The sequence below is a fragment of the Homo sapiens genome, chromosome 4 (genome assembly GCF_000001405.40).
Source record: "Homo sapiens chromosome 4, GRCh38.p14 Primary Assembly".
Lineage (NCBI taxonomy): Eukaryota > Metazoa > Chordata > Mammalia > Primates > Hominidae > Homo > Homo sapiens.
Window position 1 is genome coordinate 15,786,231 of NC_000004.12, and position 21,302 is coordinate 15,807,532.

Below are 21,302 nucleotides of genomic sequence, written 5' to 3' on the forward strand. Positions count from 1 at the left end.
CCAGCCTGCTTTTATTCCCTTATCTGGCCCCACCCACATCCTGCTGATTGGTTCATTTTACAGAGGGCTGATTGGTCTGTTTTACAGAGAGCTGATTGGTCCGTTTTGACAGGGTGCTGATTGGTGCATTTACAAACCTTGAGCTAGACACAAAGTGCTGATTGGTGTGTTTACAAACCTTGAGCTAGACATAGAGTGCTGATTGGTGTATTTACAATCCCTTAGCTAGACATAAAGATTCTCTAAGTCCCTAGTAGATTAGCTAGACACAGAGCACTGATTGGTGCATTTACAAACCTTGAGCTAGACACAGGGTGCTGATTGGTCCGTTTACAAACCTTGAGCCAGACACAGAGTGCTGATTGGTGTATTTACAATCCCTTAGCTAGACATAAATGTTCTCCAAGTCCCCACTAGACTCAGAAGCCCAGCTGGCTTCACCTAGCCGATTGTGCACCAAGTCAGCAGGCGGAGCTGCCTGCCAGTCACCTGCTATGCACCCGCACTCCTCAGCCCTTGGACGGTGGATGGGACGCCAGGGAGCAGGGCGCGGTGCTCGTCGGGGAGGCTCCAGCGGCACAGGAGCCCACGGCAGGGAGGGTGGGGGGAGGCTCAGGCATGGTGGGCTACAGGTCCCAAGCCCTGCCCCGCGGGGAGGCAGCTGAGGCCCAGCAAGAATTGGAGCGCAGCGCCAGTGGGCCAGCACTGCTGGGGGACTTGGCACACCCTCCACAGCTGCTGGCCTGGGTGCTAAGCCCTTCACTGTCCGGGGCCTGCTGCGCTCGCCGGCCGCTCAGAGTGCGGCCTGGGGAGCCCACGCCCACCTGGAACTCGCGCTGGCCCACGAGCGCCTCTCTCTCTACACCTCCGCTCAAGCAGAGGGAGCCGACTCCGGCCTGGGCCAGCCCAGAGAGGGTCTCCCACAGTGCAGCTGTGGGCTGAAGGGCTCCTCAAGCACGGCCAGAGTGGGCGCGCAGAGGCCGGGGGGCACTGAGAGCGAGCGAGGGCCACCAGCACGTTGTCTCCTCTCATTAGGGTTGGGGAAATGGACCCTGAGAGAGATTAAGTAATTTGGTGATATTCTATAGTCACTCTGGCTATGTAATTTATGGAGCCTAGTACAGAATGAAAATGTGGGGCTCATTTTTCAAAAAGCAGGAAACAGCTTTTCCTTTCTTCCAGGGTCTCTTCCTCCACCTGCCATGCTGGTGTTTGGTTGCTATTTAATGTTGAGCCCTCTTGGGCACAGGGATACTTGCAGGGACAGGGTGTCTGCTCATTTTTCTGTAGACCTCAAAGGTGAGTCCTGAGGCTTCAGGGTCACTGGCCTCCTTTTAGGGAGTCACGACGCCTTGTCTTTGTACTTCAGGAATGATTACGAATCTTTGTAGGTAAAGCGGCAGAATGCCACGTCCTCTCCTGGTTGCCAGGACGTGTTCCTTGTGGTTTAATTGCCGGGTCTGCCCTGCAGACCCTGGCTGAGCGACAGATGAAAGGAGTACTCAGACACAGGTACGCAGTGAAAGAGCGGCTAGGGGACTGCCGAAGAGTCAGCAGTCTCAATAAACTGGAGCTGCTCACTTTTATTCAGTACAGACATAATGCCGAAAGCCTGGAGCCAACGCAGTCTGTGGGTAATTAACATTGTTGTTCCGCCGTGCAGGGAGCAGTCTCGCCAGAGGATGATGAAAGGTTGGTTTCCGGAAGTAAACAAGCTTATTTAGACAAACTCCCCTACATTCCCTTGTACCCACTCCTCGCCCTCTGCGTCAGGGTAAGAGAACAGCTGCCTTCAGCTTATTCTCCCCCGAAGCTTTGCAGAGCCTTCTGACCTTTCAAAAGGTCTTCTTCTTTCCCTATCGGTTCTCCCACTACTCTGACTGATCTCCTATATTTGATCTCACCTTAACAATCACTTCTTAGAGCTGGGTCAGGAAGTATGCAGCATGCACCTGGCACTCCTAGTACTGTGCCCATGATGGGCATTGCTGATTGTTCAGAGCATATTGGATGAGCCTGGTTCAGCCTCAGAATCTTCCACCCAGTGCACCATGGAGATGCTACCAATTGGTTGGAGTTGCTCTGAGAGGTGACATTTCCTTGTGATTCTGCATTAGAAACATGTTGTTTGTCAGCCGAAACAGGGAAACCTGACACGTTATCCGCCCCCAGGAAGATCCCATCATCATTCCATGCACCTTCAGTCCTGGGAGCTTACTTTAAAAAAAAGTGACTGACATATGAGCGCAGGTCCCCAAACAGAGGGGAGGCAGGATGAGAAGCCAGATGAAGAGAGTCAAGGTCCTGGGGCTGCTTAGCTTGGATGAATCTGATGGGAGGTGGGGTGCATCTGAGTGTTCTCTGCTGATGAAGAACAGACTTGTTGCACGGGGGTAGGTGTGTGCTGTGTAAACACACATCAGAATCAGGACCCCGAATAGTGAATAGGCAAGAGTAACAGCTGAATTTGCCCAGCTCATCACAATTTAACATCAGTTTTCAAAAAGGTAAGAGCGTGGCTTTCATAGCATGCAGAATCAACACACATCAAAGATTGATTTACTCATTTATGAAGGAATCAGCAAAATGACAAACTTAGTTCAGAGAATATTTTGAGGCTCTGAGTAGATATAAAACTGGTTAATGTTTCTCAGGGCAATAAAAAGCTATAAACGTTGGGGATTTCTTTTTTATCAGACAGAAATTATTTGCATACTTAACAGAAAAGATCTCCAAGTTACCATCTAACTTCATAAGGTTCGAATAAAACTTCATAGAGTTATTAATGAATGGTAAATAGAAAAGACAAATATATGTTTTACCAGATAATTAAGTAATTCTTGGTAAACCTGGCAAACAGTACCCCAGTGTGACTCTGAAAAGACATGCTGCCCATCTTTTTGCCTTATTTCCACGTTTTAGGTATTTTTGTAAGATATCTATTCAATAAATATGTATTGAGCTCCTATGATGTCCCAGAAACTCTTTTAGATCCTGGAGATATAGCAGTAAACAAAACAGATGAAATTCTTGCTCACATGGAACTTATATTCTAGTAGGGGAGACAGACATTGAAACAGAAAAATACATAGTATGGCAGATGGTGGAAAGTATTAAAAAGAGTGCTGTGTAGTGTTTACAACTTACTCATTTATGAAGGAATCAGCAAGATGATAAACTCAGTTCAAAGAACATCTTGAGGCACCGAGTACATTTAAAAGTGGTTAGTTTCTCAGGGCGATAAAAAGCCATAAACTTTGGGGATTTCTTTTTTAGGTATGGAAACCTAAAGTAAAGAAGATGCTATGGTTTGCACATTTGTCCCCTCCAAAACTCATGTTTGAAATGTAATCCCAGAAGTGGCAGGATGAGAGATTGGCCCTTTAGGAGGTGACTGGGTCATGAGAGATCTGCCCTCATGAATGGATTAATCCATTCATGGATTACTGATTAATACGCTAATGGGTTAATGGATCAATGGGTTATCCTTGGAATGAAATGGCAGGCTTTACAAGGAGAGGAAAAGGGACTTGAGCTAGCATGCTCACCCTCCTCACCGTGTGATGCCCTGTCCTGCCTCAGGACTCTGCGGAGTTCTGGTAAGCAAGAAGGCTGTCACCAGATGTGTCCCCTAAACCTTGGACTTTTTGGCCTCCATAACTTTAAGGAATAAATTCATTTTTAAAATAAATTACCCAGCTTCAGGTATTCTGCTATAAGCAACAGAAAATGACTAAAACAGGAGGCTTTACTGGAAGGTGTCCTCTTAGCAAAGACCTAAAGAAAGAGGGAGAGTGAAACATAGAAATATCTGGGGAGAACATCCTAGGTAAAAGGAACAGCATGTGCAAAGGCCTTGAAAAGCAGCAAGCCGCTCTCCCTCTCCCTCTCCCTCTCCCTCTCCCTCTCCCTCTCCCTCTCCCTCTCCCCCTCTCCCTCCCCCTCCCCCTCCCTCTCCCTCTCTCTCCACGGTCTCCTTCCACGGTCTCCCTCTGATGCCGAGCCAAAGCTGGACGGTACTGCTGCCATCTCGGCTCACTGCAACCTCCCTGCCTGATTCTCCTGCCTCAGCCTGCCGAGTGCCTGCGCACGCCGCCACGCCTGACTGGTTTTCGTTTTTTTTTTTTGGTGGAGACGGGGTTTTGCTGTGTTGGCCGGGCTGGTCTCCAGCTCCTGACCGCGAGTGATCCGCCGGCCTCGGCCTCCCGAGGTGCCGGGATTGCGGACGGAGTCTCGTTCACTCGGTGCTCGGTGGTGCCCAGGCTGGAGTGCAGTGGCGTGATCTCGGCTCGCTACAACCTCCACCTCCCAGCCGCCTGCCTTGGCCCCCCAAAGTGCCGAGATTGCAGCCTCTGCCCGGCCGCCACCCCGTCTGGGAAGTGAGGAGCGTCTCTGCCTGGCCCCCCATCGTCTGGGATATGAGGAGCCTCTCTGCCTGGCTGCCCAGTCTGGAGGGTGAGGAGCGTCTCTGCCCGGCCGCCATCCCATCTAGGAGGCGAGGAGCGCCTCTTCCCCGCCGCCATCCCATCTAGGAAGTGAGGAGCGTCTCTGCCCGGCCGCCCATCGTCTGAGATGTGGGGAGCACCTCTGCCCCGCCGCCCTGTCTGGGATGTGAGGAGCGCCTCTGCTGGGCCGCAACCCTGTCTGGGAGGTGAGGAGTGTCTCTGCCCGGCCGCCCCGTCTGAGAGGTGAGGAGACCCTCTGCCTGGCAACCGCCCCGTCTGAGAAGTGAGGAGCCCCTCCGTCCGGCGGCCACCCCGTCTGGGAAGTGAGGAGCGTCTCCGCCCGGCAGCCACCCCGTCCGGGAGGGAGGTGGGGGGGGGTCAGCCCCCCGCCCGGCCAGCTGCCCCGTCCGGGAGGTGAGGGGCTCCTCTGCCCGGCCGCCCCTACTGGGAAGTGAGGAGCCCCTCTGCCCGGCCAGCCGCCCCGTCCGGGAGGGAGGTGGGGGGGTCAGCCCCCCGCCCGGCCAGCCGCCCAGTCCGGGAGGTGAGGGGCGCCTCTGCCCGGCCGCCCGTACTGGGAAGTGAGGAGCCCCTCTGCCCGGCCAGCCACCCCGTCCGGGAGGGGGGAGGGGGGGTCAGCCCCCTGCCCGGCCAGCCGCCCCGTCCGGGAGGGAGGTGGTGGGGGTCAGCCCCCCGCCCGGCCGGCCGCCCCGTCCGGGAGGTGAGGGGCGCCTCTGCCCGTCCGCCCGTACTGGGAAGTGAGGACCCCTCTGCCCGGCCAGCCGCCCCGTCCGGGAGGGAGGTGGGGGGGGGTCAGCCCCCCGCCCGGCCAGCCGCCCAGTCCGGGAGGGAGGTGGGGGGATCAGCCCCCCGCCCGGCCAGCCGCCCCGTCCGGGAGGGAGGTGGGGGGGTCAGCCCCCCGCCCGGCCAGCCGCCCCGTCCGGGAGGGAGGTGGGGGGGTCAGCCCCCTGCCCGGCCAGCCGCCCCGTCCGGGAGGGAGGTGGGGGGATCAGCCCCCCGCCTGGCCAGCCGCCCCGTCCGGGAGGTGAGGGGCGCCTCTGCCCGGCCGCCCCTACTGGGAAGTGAGGATCCCTCTGCCCGGCCAGCCGCCCCGTCCGGGAGGGAGGTGGGAGGGTCAGCCCCCCGCCCGGCCAGCCGCCCTATCCAGGAGGTGAGGGGCGCCTCTGCCCGGCCGCCCCTACTGGGAAGTGAGGAGCCCCTCTGCCCGGCCAGGACCCCGTCTGGGAGGTGTGCCCAGCGGCTCATTGGGGATGGGCCATGATGACAATGGCGGTTTTGTGGAATAGAAAGGCGGGAAGGGTGGGGAAAAAATTGAGAAATCGGATGGTTGCCGGGTCTGTGTGGATAGAAGTAGACATGGGAGACTTTTCATTTTGTTCTGTACTAAGAAAAATTCTTCTGCCTTGGGATCCTGTTGATCTGTGACCTTATCCCCAACCCTGTGCTCTCTGAAACATGTGCTGTGTCCACTCAGGGTTAAATGGATTAAGGGCGGTGCAAGATGTGCTTTGTTAAACAGATGCTTGAAGGCAGCATGCTCGTTAAGAGTCATCACCACTCCCTAATCTCAAGTACCCAGGGACACAAACACTGCGGAAGGCCGCAGGGTCCTCTGCCTAGGAAAACCAGAGACCTTTGTTCACTTGTTTATCTGCTGACCTTCCCTCCACTATTGTCCTATGACCCTGCCAAATCCCCCTCTGCGAGAAACACCCAAGAATGATCAATAAAAATAAAATAAAATAAAAAAAAGGAATGAATCAAGAAAAAAAAAGAAAAGAAAAGAAAAGCAGCAAGCCAGCCAGTGTGTTTGGAATGTTCTCTTATGGAAAATTTCAAAGATATGTAAAACTAGGGCTAATAATACAATTAACCCCTACTTACCCATTACCCAACTTCAACAACTATCAACATTCTGCTGTTCTTATTTCATCTATTTACCCATTAAAAAAAAAGTGTACTTTAAAGCGAATTCCAGAGTTTGTATAATTTTGTCTGTAAATCTTTCAGTCTGTATCTCTAAATCTTTCAGTCTGTAACTCTAAAAAGAACATTAAAAAACACAACTATCATACCATCATCCTACCTGACACAACTGAGTAATTTTTCATATCATCCAATATCGATCAGAAGTTTAATTTTCCATGATTTTCTTTAAAATGTAGTTTTATAATTGATTTGTTCTAATCAAGATTTGCACATTGCATTAAAAATATATGTATCTTAAATTTCCTTTAATTTACAACCATTTCCCTCCCCCATTTAAGAGTGCATATTAATTTATTAAACAGACTGGGCAATTCATCTTGTAGAATTTCCCACCTTCTGGGTTTGGCCAATTACATCCTTGTGGTGTTATTTAAAATCCTCCTCTATTCCCTTTATTATCTGTTGACTGACAGCTTGGCCAATCAGAATCACTTGAACGAGCTGATTACACCCCCTCTTTCTGAAACGTTTTCTTCCCTTGAGTCTGTACACACTGTTGGCTTCCAAATTTATATCTCCAACCCAGACCTCTCTCCAGTACTTCTGCTTGCTACTGTGTTTTTCATAACTTTCTGATTTTTTTAGTATCCAATGCTAGAAAATATATCCATTTTGAGAAAGAGACAAAGTATGAGCTCATATTGATAATTTCATTTCAAAGTAAAGGGAACAAAGTTTTTATTTAACATGTTAATTTTATGCTTGTTTCTCTTTTACACTGAAAATCTTAGTTCTCAATGACATTAATATAATTATGTATTTACTTCCCATATATATGTTGTATATAATTGTTTTATATATACATATGTGCATATATATTATTGCTAATGAAACGTCTACTGAATGATGTAAGTTTTCTCTGTGATTCTTTTGGTCCTTGGGACACAGGACTTATCCCACTAGTGATGTGTAGTCAAAATACTATGTACCAGTGTTTGATACCTTAATTAAAGGATCTCTCTGGCTGCTGCATTGAGAACAGATGGTAGCAGGACAAGGACATCAGCCTGGAAGCCATCTGGAAGCTCTTTAGTGATTCAGATAAGATTTGATTTTGGCTTGGATGGTGATGGATGATGTTGAGAAGTGGGTGGATTCTGGATATGTTTTGAAAGTAGGTTCCATGTGATTTGCCATGGGCTAATATATGGAATGTGAGAGAAAAAGAAGAAACAACAATGCTTCCAAGATTTTGGGGCAGAGGTACTGAAAAAATGAATTTCCATTTATCAGAAAGAGAAAGACTGTGGTAAAGCAAGTTGGGAAGGAAACAGCAGCTCAGTTTTCCACATTCAGTAACCCTCCCTTATCTAGGGTTTCACTTTCTGCAGTTTCACTTATCCATGGCCAGCCACAGTCTGAAAATATTAAATGGAATATTCCAGAATTAAACAACTCGTAAGTTTTAAATTGAGCACTCTTCTGAGTAGCGTGATGAAATCTCATGATGTCCTGCTGTCTTCTGCCCTGGATGTGAATCATCCCTTTGTCCAGCATATCCATGCTGCATGTTGTACCTGCCTGTTACTTGCCTAAGCAAGTGGATGGCTACTTGCTTAGTGTCCATCTCAGTTATCAGATTGAAAAAGCAGTACATATACATAGGGTTTAGTACTATCTGCAGTTTCAGGCATCACTGAGGGGGTTGGAACATAACCCTGGCAGATAAGGGAGACTACTGTTTTAGTGGAGATGTTGACCAGAAGACTGGTTCATATGAATATGGGGGTCCTGGAGAGAGGTCTGGGCTGGAGATATAAATTTGGAAATCAACAGCGTATACAGACACAAGGAAAGAAAACATTTCAGAAAGAGGGGGTATAATCAGCTTGTTCAAGTGATTCTGATTGGCCAAGTAAGATGAAGATTGGAAATTGACCAATGGATCGGTGACTTGGCAAGGTCAGTTTGGGAGGAGTGGTAGTGATGAAAGCTTATGTGGAACAAATTCAAGAAAAAAACAGAAGAGAGAGGAATTAGAGATTGTTGTGCACAGACAACTCTTGCAAGAGGTTTTGCTGGCCAGGAGAACAGAAATACAAGTGAAGTAGTGGCTGGATGTTTTCCAAAACATGAAACTTAGTTTTCATAGGAAAAAAATGGTTTTTCTTTTTCTACTTATTCAATTTTGTGCACAATTTCATTACATTATATAAGTAAAAACCACAAGCACGAACATGTTTATAAATAGGTAAATAAATAACAAAGTAGATAGAAACAAAAATTCTCAGGTGTGCAAAAGAGTAGTTTATTAGCTGTGTAGAAGACAGAAAACTTGCTTTTATAGAGGGAATGAATAGTGTTGATTAGTATAGTGAGTCAGTTAAATAGGTATCAGTTGAATTTTTTGAGACAATAAGTACATTTAGAATTGGCTAGGCATTATTCTTCCATTAAAGGAAACTCTTAGTAATAGATTAGGTCAGAAAACCACAAAGACAGTTTTCTTGAATAAGGGGGTGGTGGGAAAAAATGGATGTAAGATGCTGAGAAAAAACAGGAAACTCAACAATAGATGAAATCAAGAATTAGTTTCGTGTGTGTGTGTGTGTGTATTTCACAGAAAAGGGCTGAAAGGGGAGGAATGGTTATATTCACAGATTTTTGTAGTTGATCTTAATAGGGAATAGGAGATTACCTTTTTTTCAGCAAAATATTACCAGCAAATGTCTACTCTGGAAATAGAGGATAAGAATCTTCTATTTAAAGACCAAAAAGGTGAAAACTGAGGTCAGAAATTTAAAGAGTAAATGTAGCAAGATGCTAACATTCTTGTTCCCTCTAATAACTCTTCTTTTTTAAAAATTATAAAAGTAAAACATGCCCATTGAAGAATATTTGGATGAATACAAAAATATAGAAAAGAATGTAAAATCGCTTAAGCCCCCAAGTAGAATTCTAAATAGCGGAGAAACCCACGATTTAAAAAAATAAATAAGGAGATCCACAAAAGGAAGATATATACCTGCTTAAGTGGACGGCCTCAGCATAAGTAGTCTTACAGTTACAATTAATTTTTTTTCTATTATACGATGTTTTAAAAAATTGCTAAGCTCAGTTGTCTACTCCCTGCTAGAATGTATCAAACATGCTGCATCCACATAGTAGACAGTTATTCTACATTTTTGGTCTTTGGATGTTTTGAAGCAATTAGCAAAGTTTGATTTGAAGAGACATTATAAATTTCCGACGGCATATTTTTCTCTGGCCATGATCCATATTTGCCTTGATATTGTCCAAATGTTCATTTTATCTTATGACTATCAAGCAAATATTATAAAGTTATTTGTGAATTTGGCACTTCATAGATGAAATATTGTGAAATTCTGAATAAAACTGCTTCATTGATTATCTTGGTTCCTAAAAGAGATAGTTTATGAGTTAAATTATCTCTAACGTTGTCTAAGTTGGCAGTAATTAAATCTCCATGGGAATTCTTAATAAAGGCAAAGAAGGACTGAAAACACCTTGCTGAAACTGAGAGAGATTTAAAACCACAAAAAAAATGTAAGATTTAGTTAGTTGTTCACGTTTTGGGGTCCTGCTTTTATGTGTTAATACTTCCAGATAAAATTTTTTCAAAGGTAGTTTTGAACCCCAGGATCTGAATATATTAATTTGTTTATCTCTGAAAACTGTATACTTTGTGTTTCCCAGGTCTGGCTTTCTTCATTTTTCCTACTTGAGGGAACTCCTTTTCTTCCTTCAATATCCTCATATCCTCCTTCAATGTTTCTCAGTCAATATCTCCTCTCAATTTTTCCATTTAAAAATTAAAAATTAAATTATTAACATTTTAAATACACTGAAATGTTCATGGAATAGTAGTACAAATACCCATTTACCCACCACATGGAGTTAATAGACAATAAAAATTTGCCATATTTGTTTTACATCTTTTTTCTAGTTTTTAAAGAAATAACATGTTACAAATAAAATCGAAATACTCTTTCCGCCGATTTTCTTTTCTCCTGTCTCAGAGGCAAATACTGCTACTTGCTTCTCTTGTATCTTTTTAGAAATATTCTCTGCATATATAAGCATATATCCATATATTTTTCCACACATAGTATCTCTTCCGTGTCTTAGTTTTTTTCATTCTACAATGTATCTTGATGATCAGTGTAGCTTTGTTTCATTCTAATAATTATATAGATTCCACTTTACAAATTTACTATACTTTGGACTTGTATCTATGAACGTTTCGATTGTTTTAAACCTTTGGCAACATTACAGACAATGCTGCAATGAAATCCTTCTGTATGTATACATACGTGGATGTGTGTATAAGATATAATTCTGGAAGTAGAATTGCTAAGTTAAAGCATATGCTACTTAATTTTGAAAAAATTGTCGAACTTCTCTTCACAAGGCAATTATCTTCTTGAGGTAATGAGAACTCCTATTTCCCCATACCCATACTACCCAGAGTATCTTCAAATTTTCTGATTTTTGCTGGTCTGATAAGGGAACGTTACCTCAGTTTAATCTTTATTTGCATTTACTATGTGTTTTTGCCCTGTAGAGTGAATTTTACTTTTCTACCTAACAATATATTTTTGTGATTTTAATGACATTACTTTTGAGATTTACCCATGCTAATATATAAACTCTGGTTCTGCAATTTTAAGTGCTATATAGTATCCTATTGAATGACCATACTACTCATTTATTTATTATTATCTACTTGTTAATTAGTCTGTTATCTTTTTTGTCAGTTTTTGTGGGCATAAACAATGCTAAAGCATACATGTCTACTTGCGCATATGATTTTTTCCCAGTGTGTTTAATAGAATGACTAAGGTAGAATGACTAAAGTTCTGAGGTGTGGCAGGTATGCCATCTTCACCTTTACTGGGTATGCTAGTGTGCTGCAGCTGCCGTGATAAAGTACTACAAGCCGGGTGGCTTCAACAATAGCATTGTACTGTCTCACAGTTCTGGAGGCTGGAAGTCTAAAATCAAGGTGTCAGAAGGGTCGGTGCCTTCTGAAGGTGTGAGAGAGAATCTGCTTCGTGCCCTCTTCCAAGCTTCTAGTAACCTCAGGTGTTCCTTGTCTTGTTGATGGTGTTGTCCCAGTGTCTTCATATTGTCTTCTCTCTGTTTGTGTTTGTGTTTGTCTCTATGCCCAAATTTCCCCTTTTCATAAGGACCCAGTCGTATGGGATTAGGGCTTACCCTAATGATCTCATCTTAACTTGATCATCTGTAAAACCTTATTTCCAAATAAGGTCATTTTCTGAGGTACTGGGTGTTAGGATTTCAACATCGTTTGGGGGGGTAAAATTCAATCAATAACAACAGGTATACCAGTTAAGATGTTTTTGGCTGCAACTAACAGAACATTCAACTGAAAAGGTTTAAAATATATTGTAAATTTTAAACAAATGTTTTATAGAGATGAGTTCTGACTGTGTTGCCCAGGCTGGTCTCAAAATCCTGGCCTCAAGCAATCCTTCCACCTTGGCCTCCCAAAGTGCTGGGATTACAGGCATGAGCCACAGAGCCTGGCCACTTTAAAATGTTGTTGACACACATAACAAGACATCCAGAAGTGGGGTGGTCATAGGATCGGTTCAGCAGCACAGTGATGGCCGAGGCTCTTTCCTTCCACTCTTCCATCTCCCTTGAGTGGCTTTCAGCTTCTTGTCACAAGATTGCTGCATTATGTCCTCATATACCTGGAACAGAGGGCAGGGAGAGGGGCAAGAGCACACCCCCATTTCAAGTCTCTTTTCATCCCAAAGTAACATATTTCCCAGCAGCCCTCTTTCAACCCTCTCTAGGCTTCTCCTTAAATTTCACTGGCCAGAATTGGGCCACACGGTTACCCAAAGGTATAAAAGAGGCTTGAGAAGTGAGAATTTGATATTTTGAATCATAATAGGAGACATGCTTTGCCAATAGGAAAGAAGGGTAAAAGAAATCTTCTGGAGAGTACGGAACCAACGGCGTCTGCCACGTTGCATATGGCCAAATGGTCACCAAATTTGTTGTATCACTTTATTTTCACAAAATTGGTGTAAAGTCCTCATTGCTATTCATCCTCGTCATCATTCGGAATTCTCAAATTTAAAAAATGCCCATTTCCTTGTTGTTTTATTTTTTTAATTCCCTGATCATTAACATAAGTAATTATCTTTTTATGTGTTTATTTGTCATTCAGGTTTCTTCTGTGAAAAGCCTATTTCTGTCTTTTGCTTGTTCTTATGTTGAATTGTCTCTACACATTCAGGATTCTAATCTTCTGTCAGTTATGTGGATTGCAAATAAAGTCTCCCAGTCTATGGCTTAACTCTTGACACTATATTTATCACGTCCCTTATTTACTAAAGATTTAAATATGATCAAATTTATGTTTTCTTTTAGGGTTGTGCCTTTTGTATCTTATTTAAGAACTGATTTCTTTAATGTGAGATCACAAAAGGGTTATAAATATTCTAAAAATGTTAAACTTTTGCTTTTCATAGTTAGATCTTTGATCCACTTGGAATTTATCTTTGTGTGTGGTGAAATTAGGAAGCCCATTTCATTTTTCCCCAGATGGATAGTCAGTTGTGTAAGTGCTGTTTATCAAATAATCCATCCTTTATCGAGGGTTTTCTGATGCCACTTCTGTTGCATCTTGTGTTTCTTTATGTATGTCAGTTTATTTCTGGACTCTCCAATCTGTTTTATGGTCTGTTTGTCGCTATACCACTGCCACGTTGTTTAAATTACTAATGCTTTGATATCCAATAGAACATGTCTGCTTTCTGTTACGGGAGATAAATTTACATTTTTAAGAAGTTTATATAAATGGAATACATATCATTTACTCTTTTGTGTCTGAGTTGTATGTCTTTGTCATGATGTTTTTGTGATTCATCCATGTTGTATGTATTAATAGCTTGTTCCTTTTTATTATTGGGTCTATTGTGTGTATATATCACAATTTGTTTATTTATCTATTGATAGACATTTGGCTTGTAGTCACTTTTTGGATACAATGAATAGAGGTTCTATGAACATTAGTGTACAAGTTATTGTATGGACATACTGACAGAGCAGGAGCACAGTCCTCTTGGACAAACACTGCCACTTTAAGTTCCAGCTCCATTTTTAGCCTCATGCATCTCAGGGAAATCACTTCTCTTCTAACTACAAGTAGCCAGAAAGAGCAAACAGTAAACCACAGATAAAACAGCTCAGGCACAGAGGGAGGAGGGAGAAAAGTCTCTTGGGTAACTGCCACACTTCACCCTCATACAGTGGGCCCCAGTAAAACAGTGGGCGTTAATAAACACATTATTTTCCCTTCAGGTGCACTAAAATAGGGAAGCTAAAAGCAGACTCGGGGGGTATGCCTGCAGCTGCAGAAAAATGTATAAAAACAGACACACAACTCTCCCTCCAAAATAAGCACAACAAAAAACACAAAAGCAGTCCAAGCCTCTAATAAACTCTCCTATCCTAAATCCTTAAAAACTCTTAGTCTGTAAGAGAGTGTGCTGTTGACCTAGCTCAGCCAAAAGCTCCTCACAGGTTCGTTTTCTCTAAAATAAACCTGTCTTAACTGGCAAGCCACCTTTCGTGTTTTTTTTCCTCTTTCTTTAATTCTTACACATACTGTTTTATTTCTCTTGAGTGAACACCCAGAAATAGAATAGCAGAGCCATATGGTACATAAGTTGATTAGCTTTTTGAGAAACCACCAAACTGTTTTATAAGGCAATTGTATAGTTTTACATGTGTAGCATCAGTGTGTGAATATTCTAGTTGTTCTACGTCCTTGTTAACATTTGGTATTGTCAGACTTTTAAATTTTAGCCATCTAAAAATTTATAGTGTTATTTTATGGTGGTTATAGTTTGCATTTCCCCCATGACTAATGATGCTGAGGATCATCTCATAGGCTTTTTGAAGTATGTGTTCAAATCTTTTGCCCATCTTTAAAAATTAGGGTTTTTGTTTTGTACAAATACTTGGAAATTAAGCAACATACTCCAGAATGACCAATGGGTCAATGAAGAAATTAAGAAAAATAAAAAAACTTACTGAAAATGATGAAAACATGTCTAACAAATAAAAATTGATACACAACATACCAAAATCTATGGAATACAGTAAAAGCAGTACTAGGAGGAAAGTTCATAGTAATGATTGCCTACGTCAAAAAAGTAGAAAGATTTAAAACAACTTAACAGTGAACCTCAGGAAACTATAAAAGCAAAACAACAACAACAAAACCCCCAAACTCCAAATTAGTAGAAGGAAGTAAATAATAAAGATCAGAACAGAAATAAATGAAATAGGTTGGAAAAGTAATACAAAAGATCAACAAAATGAAAAGTTGTTTTTTAAAAAAAATTGACTAAGCATTACCTAGACTAACTAAGAAAAAAGAGGGAAGAACCAAATAAATGAAAAAGGAGATGTTACAATTGATACCACAAAAATATAAAGGATCGTAAGAGACTATTATGAACACCAATAAATTGGAAAGCCCAGAGGAGATGGATAAATTTCTGGGCACCTACAACCTACCAAGATTGAACCAGGATGAGATACAAAATCCGAATAGACCAATAACAATTATTGAGGAACCTCAATAATAATTTTTATTAAACAACAATAAAAAGTTTCCCAATTAAAAAAAAAAGCTCAGGACTGGATGGCTTTACTGCTGGATTCTACCAAACTTTGAAAAATAACTACCAATTCTTCTCAAACTATTCCAAAAAATTGAAGGGAAGAGAATTCTTCCAAACTCATTCTATAAGGCCAGAATTAACCTGATACAAAACCAGACAAGGATACAACAACAAAAAAAGAATTTTGCAGGCCAGTATCCCTGATGAACATAAATGGAAAGTTCCTCAACAAAATACTAGCAAACTGAATCCAACAGCACATTAATAAGTTTATTTACTAAAACCAGGTGGGATTCATTCCAGGGATGCAAGAGTGGTTCAACATATGCAAATCAACAAACATAATACATCCCATCAACGGAATGAAGGACAAAAATCATATGATCACCACAATAGATGCAGAAAAACAGTTGATAAAATTCAACATCCCTCCATGATAAAAACTCTCAAACAATTAGGTTTAGAAGAAGGAACACACTTCATCTTAATAAAGGCCATATATGACAAATCCACAGCTAATATTGTACCAAACAGGGAAATGTTGGAAGTTTTTTCTCTAAAAACTGGAACAAGATAAGGATGCTTACCCTCACTACTCTGATTCCACATAGTACTGGAAGTTCTAGCCAGAGCAATTAGGCAACAGAAAGAAATAAAAGACATCCAAATTTGGAAGGAATAAGTCAAATTGACCATGTTTGCAGATGACATCCTCTTACCTACAGAAAAATCTAAAGACTCCACCAAAAAACTCTTAGAATTGATATACAAATTCAGTAAAGTTGTGAGATACAAAATCAACATACAAAAATCAGTAGCATTTCTATACACCAATAATAAACTATCTGTAAAAGGAACCCCACTTACAATAGCTACCCCCCAAAAAAAACCTCCACCTAGGAGTAAATTTAACCAAAGAGGTGAAAGATCTCTAGAATAAAGACTACAGAACACTAATAAAAGAAATTGAAGAGGACATAAAAAATTGGATAGATATCCCATGTTCATGGATTGGAAAAATTAATATTGTTAAGATTCCATACTACCCAAAGGAATCTACAGATTCAGTGCAATCTCTATCGAATTTTCAATGGCATTTTTCACAGAAATGGAAAAAAAGATTCTTAAATTTGTTAGGAACCATAAAAGACCCCAAATAGCCAAAGCAATTGTTTGTTTTATTTTATTTTATTTTATTTTATTTTATTTTATTTTATTTTATTTTATTTTATTTTATTTCACTTCATTTCATTTTATTTTTGAGACAGTCTCCCTCTGTCACACAGGTTGGAGTGCAGTTGCATGATCTCAGCTCACTGCAATCTCTCCCTCCTGGGTTCAAGCAATTCTCCTGCTTCAGCCACCTCAGTAGCTAGAATTACAGACATGCACTACCATGCCCTATTTTTAGTAGAGATAGGGTTTCACCATGTTGGCCAGGCTGGTCTCAAACTCCTGACCTCAAGTGATCCACCTGCCTCAGCCTCCCAAAGTGCTGGTATTACAGGCATGAGCCTCTGCTCCTAGCCAAGCCAAAGCAATTCTGAGCAAAAAGAACTGGAGGGATCACACTACTTTACTTTAAAATATAATACTATAGTAAAACAGCATTGTATTGGCATTAAAGCAACACATAAATCAATGGAACAGAATAGAGAACCCAGAAATAAATTCACATATTTATGGCCTATTGATTTTCTGCAACAGCACTAAGAACATAAACTGAAGAAAGGACACCTTTTTCAATAAATATTGCTGGGGAAACTGGATATTCATATGCAGAAGAATGAAACTAGAGCCCCATCTATCATAATATAAAAAAGTAACTCAAAACGAATCAAAGACTTAAGTGTAAGACCCCAAATTATGAAACTACTAAGAGAAAACATAAGGAAAATGTTCTGAGCAAAGATTTTATGGATAAGACCTCCAAAACACAGTCAACAAAGGCAAAAATAGACTAATGGGATTACATCAAACTAAACATTTCTGTGCAGCAAAGTAAACAATCAACAGAGTCATGTGACAAACTACAGAATGGGATAAAATATTTGCAAACGGTTTCTCTGACAAGGAATTAATATCTAGAATATACAAGGAACTTAACAGCAAAAAGCCAAATAATCTGATTTTTAAAATCGGCAATTGATCTGAACAGACGTTTCTCAAAAGAAGACATAAAATGGCCACTAAGTATTTGAAACAGTGCTCTATGTGACTAATGATTAGGGAAATGCAAATCAAAATCACAGTGAGATATTATCTCACGCCAGCTAGAATGGCTATCATCAAAAAGAAGAAAAAATAACAAAGCTAGCAAGAATGCAGATAAAAGGAAACTTAAAACATTTCAGCTTTTACTTTAGATTCAGGGGTTACATGTGCAGGTGTATTGCATGATGTTGAGGTTTCAGAATATGATTGAACCCATCTCCCAGGTGGTGAGCATAGTACCCAATATGTGGTTTTGCAACCCTTCCTTCCTCCTTCCCTCCCTCCTCTTATACTCCCCAGTGCCTAGCATTCCTATTTTTATGTCCATGCGTACCCAATGTTTAGCTCCCACTTATAAGTGAGAAATGTAGTATTTGGTTTTCTGTTTCTGCGTTAACTTGTTTAGGATAATGGCCTCCAGCTGCATTCATGTTGCTGCAAAATACATGATTTCATTCTTCTTTTTGTGGCTGCATGGTATTCCATGGTGTATACATACCACCACATTTTCTTTATCCAATCTGCCATTATTGGGCATCTAGGTTGATTCCATGTCTTTGCTACTGTGAATAGTGCTGTAATGAACATATAAGTGCATGTCTTTTTTTTGGTAGAACAATTTATTTTCCTGTGGGCCATATACCCAGTAGTGGGATTTCTGGGTTGAATGGTAATTCAGTTTTTATTAATAGTTCTTTAAGAAATCTCCAAAGTGATATTCACAGCGGTTGAACTAATTTACATTCCCACCAACAGTGTATAAGCGACAAAGAAAATTCTCACACATTGTTGGTAGGAATGTAAATTAGTACAGCTATTATGGAAAGCAGTGTGGAAGTTCCTTAACAGGCTAAAAATAGAACTACCATATGATCCAGTAATCTCGCTACTGGACCTATATCCAAAGAAAATAAAATCATATGTCGAAGAGATACCTGCACTCCCATCTTTACTGTAGTTTCATTTATAATAATGAAGATATGGAATCCACCGAAGTGTCTATCAACAGATGAAGAGATAAAGAAAATGTGGGATATATAGACAATGGAATGCAGCCATAAAAGAGAATGAAATCCTATCATTGGTGGCAACATGGATGAGCCTGGAGGACATTATGTTAAGTGATATAAGCCAGGCACAGAAAGACAAGTTTCATATATTCTCACTTACATGTGGGAGCTAAAAAAGTTGATCTCAGAGAAGTAGAGAGTAGAATAGTGGTTACTAGAAGCTGAGAAGGGTAGGGAGACAGAGATTGATCAATGAATACAAAATTATATATATGGATAGAGGAAATAAGTTTTAGTTTTAGTGTTCTATAGCATTGTAGGGTGACTATAGTGAACAATAACTTATTGTATATTTTCAAGTACTGAGAGGAGAAAATTTTGTACATTACCAGCACAAAGAAATGATAAACCTTTGAGATAATGGATATGCCAATTACACAGATTCGATCATTATGCATTGTATGCACGTATTGAAATGTCACTTCACCCCATAAATATGTGCAATTACATGTCATTTAAAAGTGATAAGAAAAATTAGTTTTTTTGATCTTATTATTGACTCGTAGGAAGCTTATATATTCTGAAAAGAAGTCCATTTTCAGATGTGTACTAAAAATATTTTCTTTCATTTTATGACTTACCTTTCCATTTTCTTTAATGGAAACTTTTAAAAACTTTTAAAAAACAAAGTTTTAAAAAAATCTAGTTAAGGTCCAGTTTGTTAACTTTTTTCTAATATGGCTTGTGACGCTTATTCCTTCTGCCTAGAATGTTCCTGGGATGTTTGTGGAGCTAAGTCCTCGCTTCCTTCAATTCTTTACTCAAATATGTCCACCCTATTTAATGTCAACTGTCCACCGTATTTAATGCCACCCTATTTAATATCACTAACACCTCCTCCCCCCTCACTCTTGACATTCATTCTAGTCTATTTTACATTTTTTTCTCATAGAACTCATAAATTTCTAGCATGCTTTATAACTTACATATTCATTATGTTTATTGTTTATTGTCCGTCTTTGTTCCAGTAAAATGTAAACTCCTAGAAGAACAGAGACCTGTGTTTTGTTCACTGATGTACCCTAAGTGCTCACAAGTGTTTCTAGCACCTAGTATTTGCTCAATAAATATTTGCTAGGTTGATGAATTAATGATTTCTAAGCTTTCCTTCAGCCTGAAGAGTTTTCTGATTGTAAGATTCTACTTAGATAATCCTAATTGTCTCAGTGACTCTCACCAGTCACTCACTTCTCCCACAAGGTGGCAGTCTTTACCTTCAACACAGGTTCTGGTAGCCTCAAATTTGAGAATTAATAGCTGAGTTAACCTGCTTGTTTTCTTTGAGCCCAGACAGCCTGCCCTATGGGAACTGACAGCTGTAAAATTTAAAGGACGAGTGTAATTACCCTGCAAGATCTGAGTGCTTTTAGGCAAGAGGATTTAGGGGGTGAGAGTTTTCCTGGAGAGGGACACATTATGAAGGTGATATTGCTTAATTGATGGGGACTTTGAAACATAGTTGCTCTTTGTGAGAATGGTATAGGTTTAGAGAGAGGTGCTAGCACAGAGCTGTGACACCTGAAGTAGGCTGACCGCAGACAAATTGGATTTAACCACCAAATATATCTGTGTTTTCATGTCTTCCTGCCCCGTGCCCTCTTATCTGACTCACTTTACCCCAGCACTGGGGAATAACTGTGCCCTATTCTGGTCCTGACCCTTTTGTACCATCTAGGGAAATGAGAACTCCTCTTGGGGTCTCAGATCCTCATTTCTGTTAGAACCAATCCTATTCTGTGGGTAGGGCCATGGTTGTAAATTTCCTGTGGGAGGCAGCATTGCTTTGCAAAAAGAACACAGTTTGGCATGTGAGGCAGCTCTGCCACTTGGACAAGGTGATAACGCTTTAGTCTCTTTATTTCTAAAACAGGGAAGATGCTAATACCCCGCCCATGGACTAGTATGAGATTTAAATGGCAGGTACTTGGCACAGTGGCAGGTGGTGAATGCTCTTTGGTGATCATGACTATCCCTTTCTCCTGGTAGTGCTGCCTCCTCCCTCTGAGCACCTGGAGTCAATCCACCTTGGGTAGGTCAGAGAAGGCAGAAGAAAGTGGTGGGAGGTGAACTCGACGGAATGATGTACAGGGCGATAGGGTGAGTGAGAGGTCTGGGATCTATTGGCAGGAGCAGAATGGTAGGAAAGGGAAAACATGCCATTGACCTTGAATCTTGACATTTGTGCCCATCCTATGCTGTGTTGAGCCTCAGGTCACCGTTTGCGGAGGTGAGCAGAAAACTGCTAACAGATCGAGGCTTCTCCAGCCTTCTAGGTAAACTTTCATCAGTGGGTTAGTTGTCTTGTTCAGAAGCTGATCACGGAGCTTTGGCCAAGCATAAACACTGATTATGGCAGTCCAATTGTCATAATCCCTTTGATTCTTTAATATCACCTTCAAGATTGTTTGTTATTGTCAATGCCCCCACAACCTAAGACCACCAGGAACACACTGTAATTGAAAAAGGTGGGTTTGTTGCTCTCTGCAAGAAGGGAGGACACTCAGCGTAGAGACTCATGAGGGTGGGGCAGGTTTTATCCGATGACGTTAGAAAGGACTTACTGAGGATTTGGGCTTGTTTTAGGAGATTTGGGGGAAAGGTTCAAGGAGACTGGCTTTTCCTGGATGCTGCCAGGAAGTAGTGGGATGGTAGTAAGTCTGTGGTAGGATGTTTAAATAAATTTCCTCTACTGGGCTGGAAGAATGAGAAGGCTGAAGCTGTAATAAGTAAAGAAGTGGCAGTCACTCCTATCAGCTATGATAAAAGGATGTTTGGCTATTACTTTATGGTTTGGATGCTATTTTTGCTTGTGTTCACATCATGGTCTATCATGGTGATAGGCCACGTACACAGTGGCCTTGTCTGATGCTGGTGTCCCATGGAGTTGATTATGCTCAGCTGAAGGACACTAAGGCCCAACTGTGGGGGCCAGG

At 41.7% G+C, this 21,302-nt stretch overlaps 1 protein-coding gene across 2 annotated transcripts in view, besides 1 other annotated feature; it reads left to right on the top strand.

The window, feature by feature from the left end:
• The window catches only part of CD38 (CD38 molecule), a 74,905-nt gene that overhangs the window by 7,903 nt on the left and 45,700 nt on the right, over positions 1 to 21,302 (top strand). The gene's annotated exons all lie outside the window — the stretch shown is intronic.
• Positions 5,600 to 6,281: an enhancer, noted in NCBI's record as "NANOG-H3K27ac hESC enhancer chr4:15793453-15794134 (GRCh37/hg19 assembly coordinates)". NCBI's record gives its function as "activates a minimal SCP1, AML or CMV promoter by ChIP-STARR-seq in primed H9 embryonic stem cells {active_cell/tissue: H9 hESC(primed)}" and the evidence as "EXISTENCE:reporter gene assay evidence [ECO:0000049][PMID:30033119]".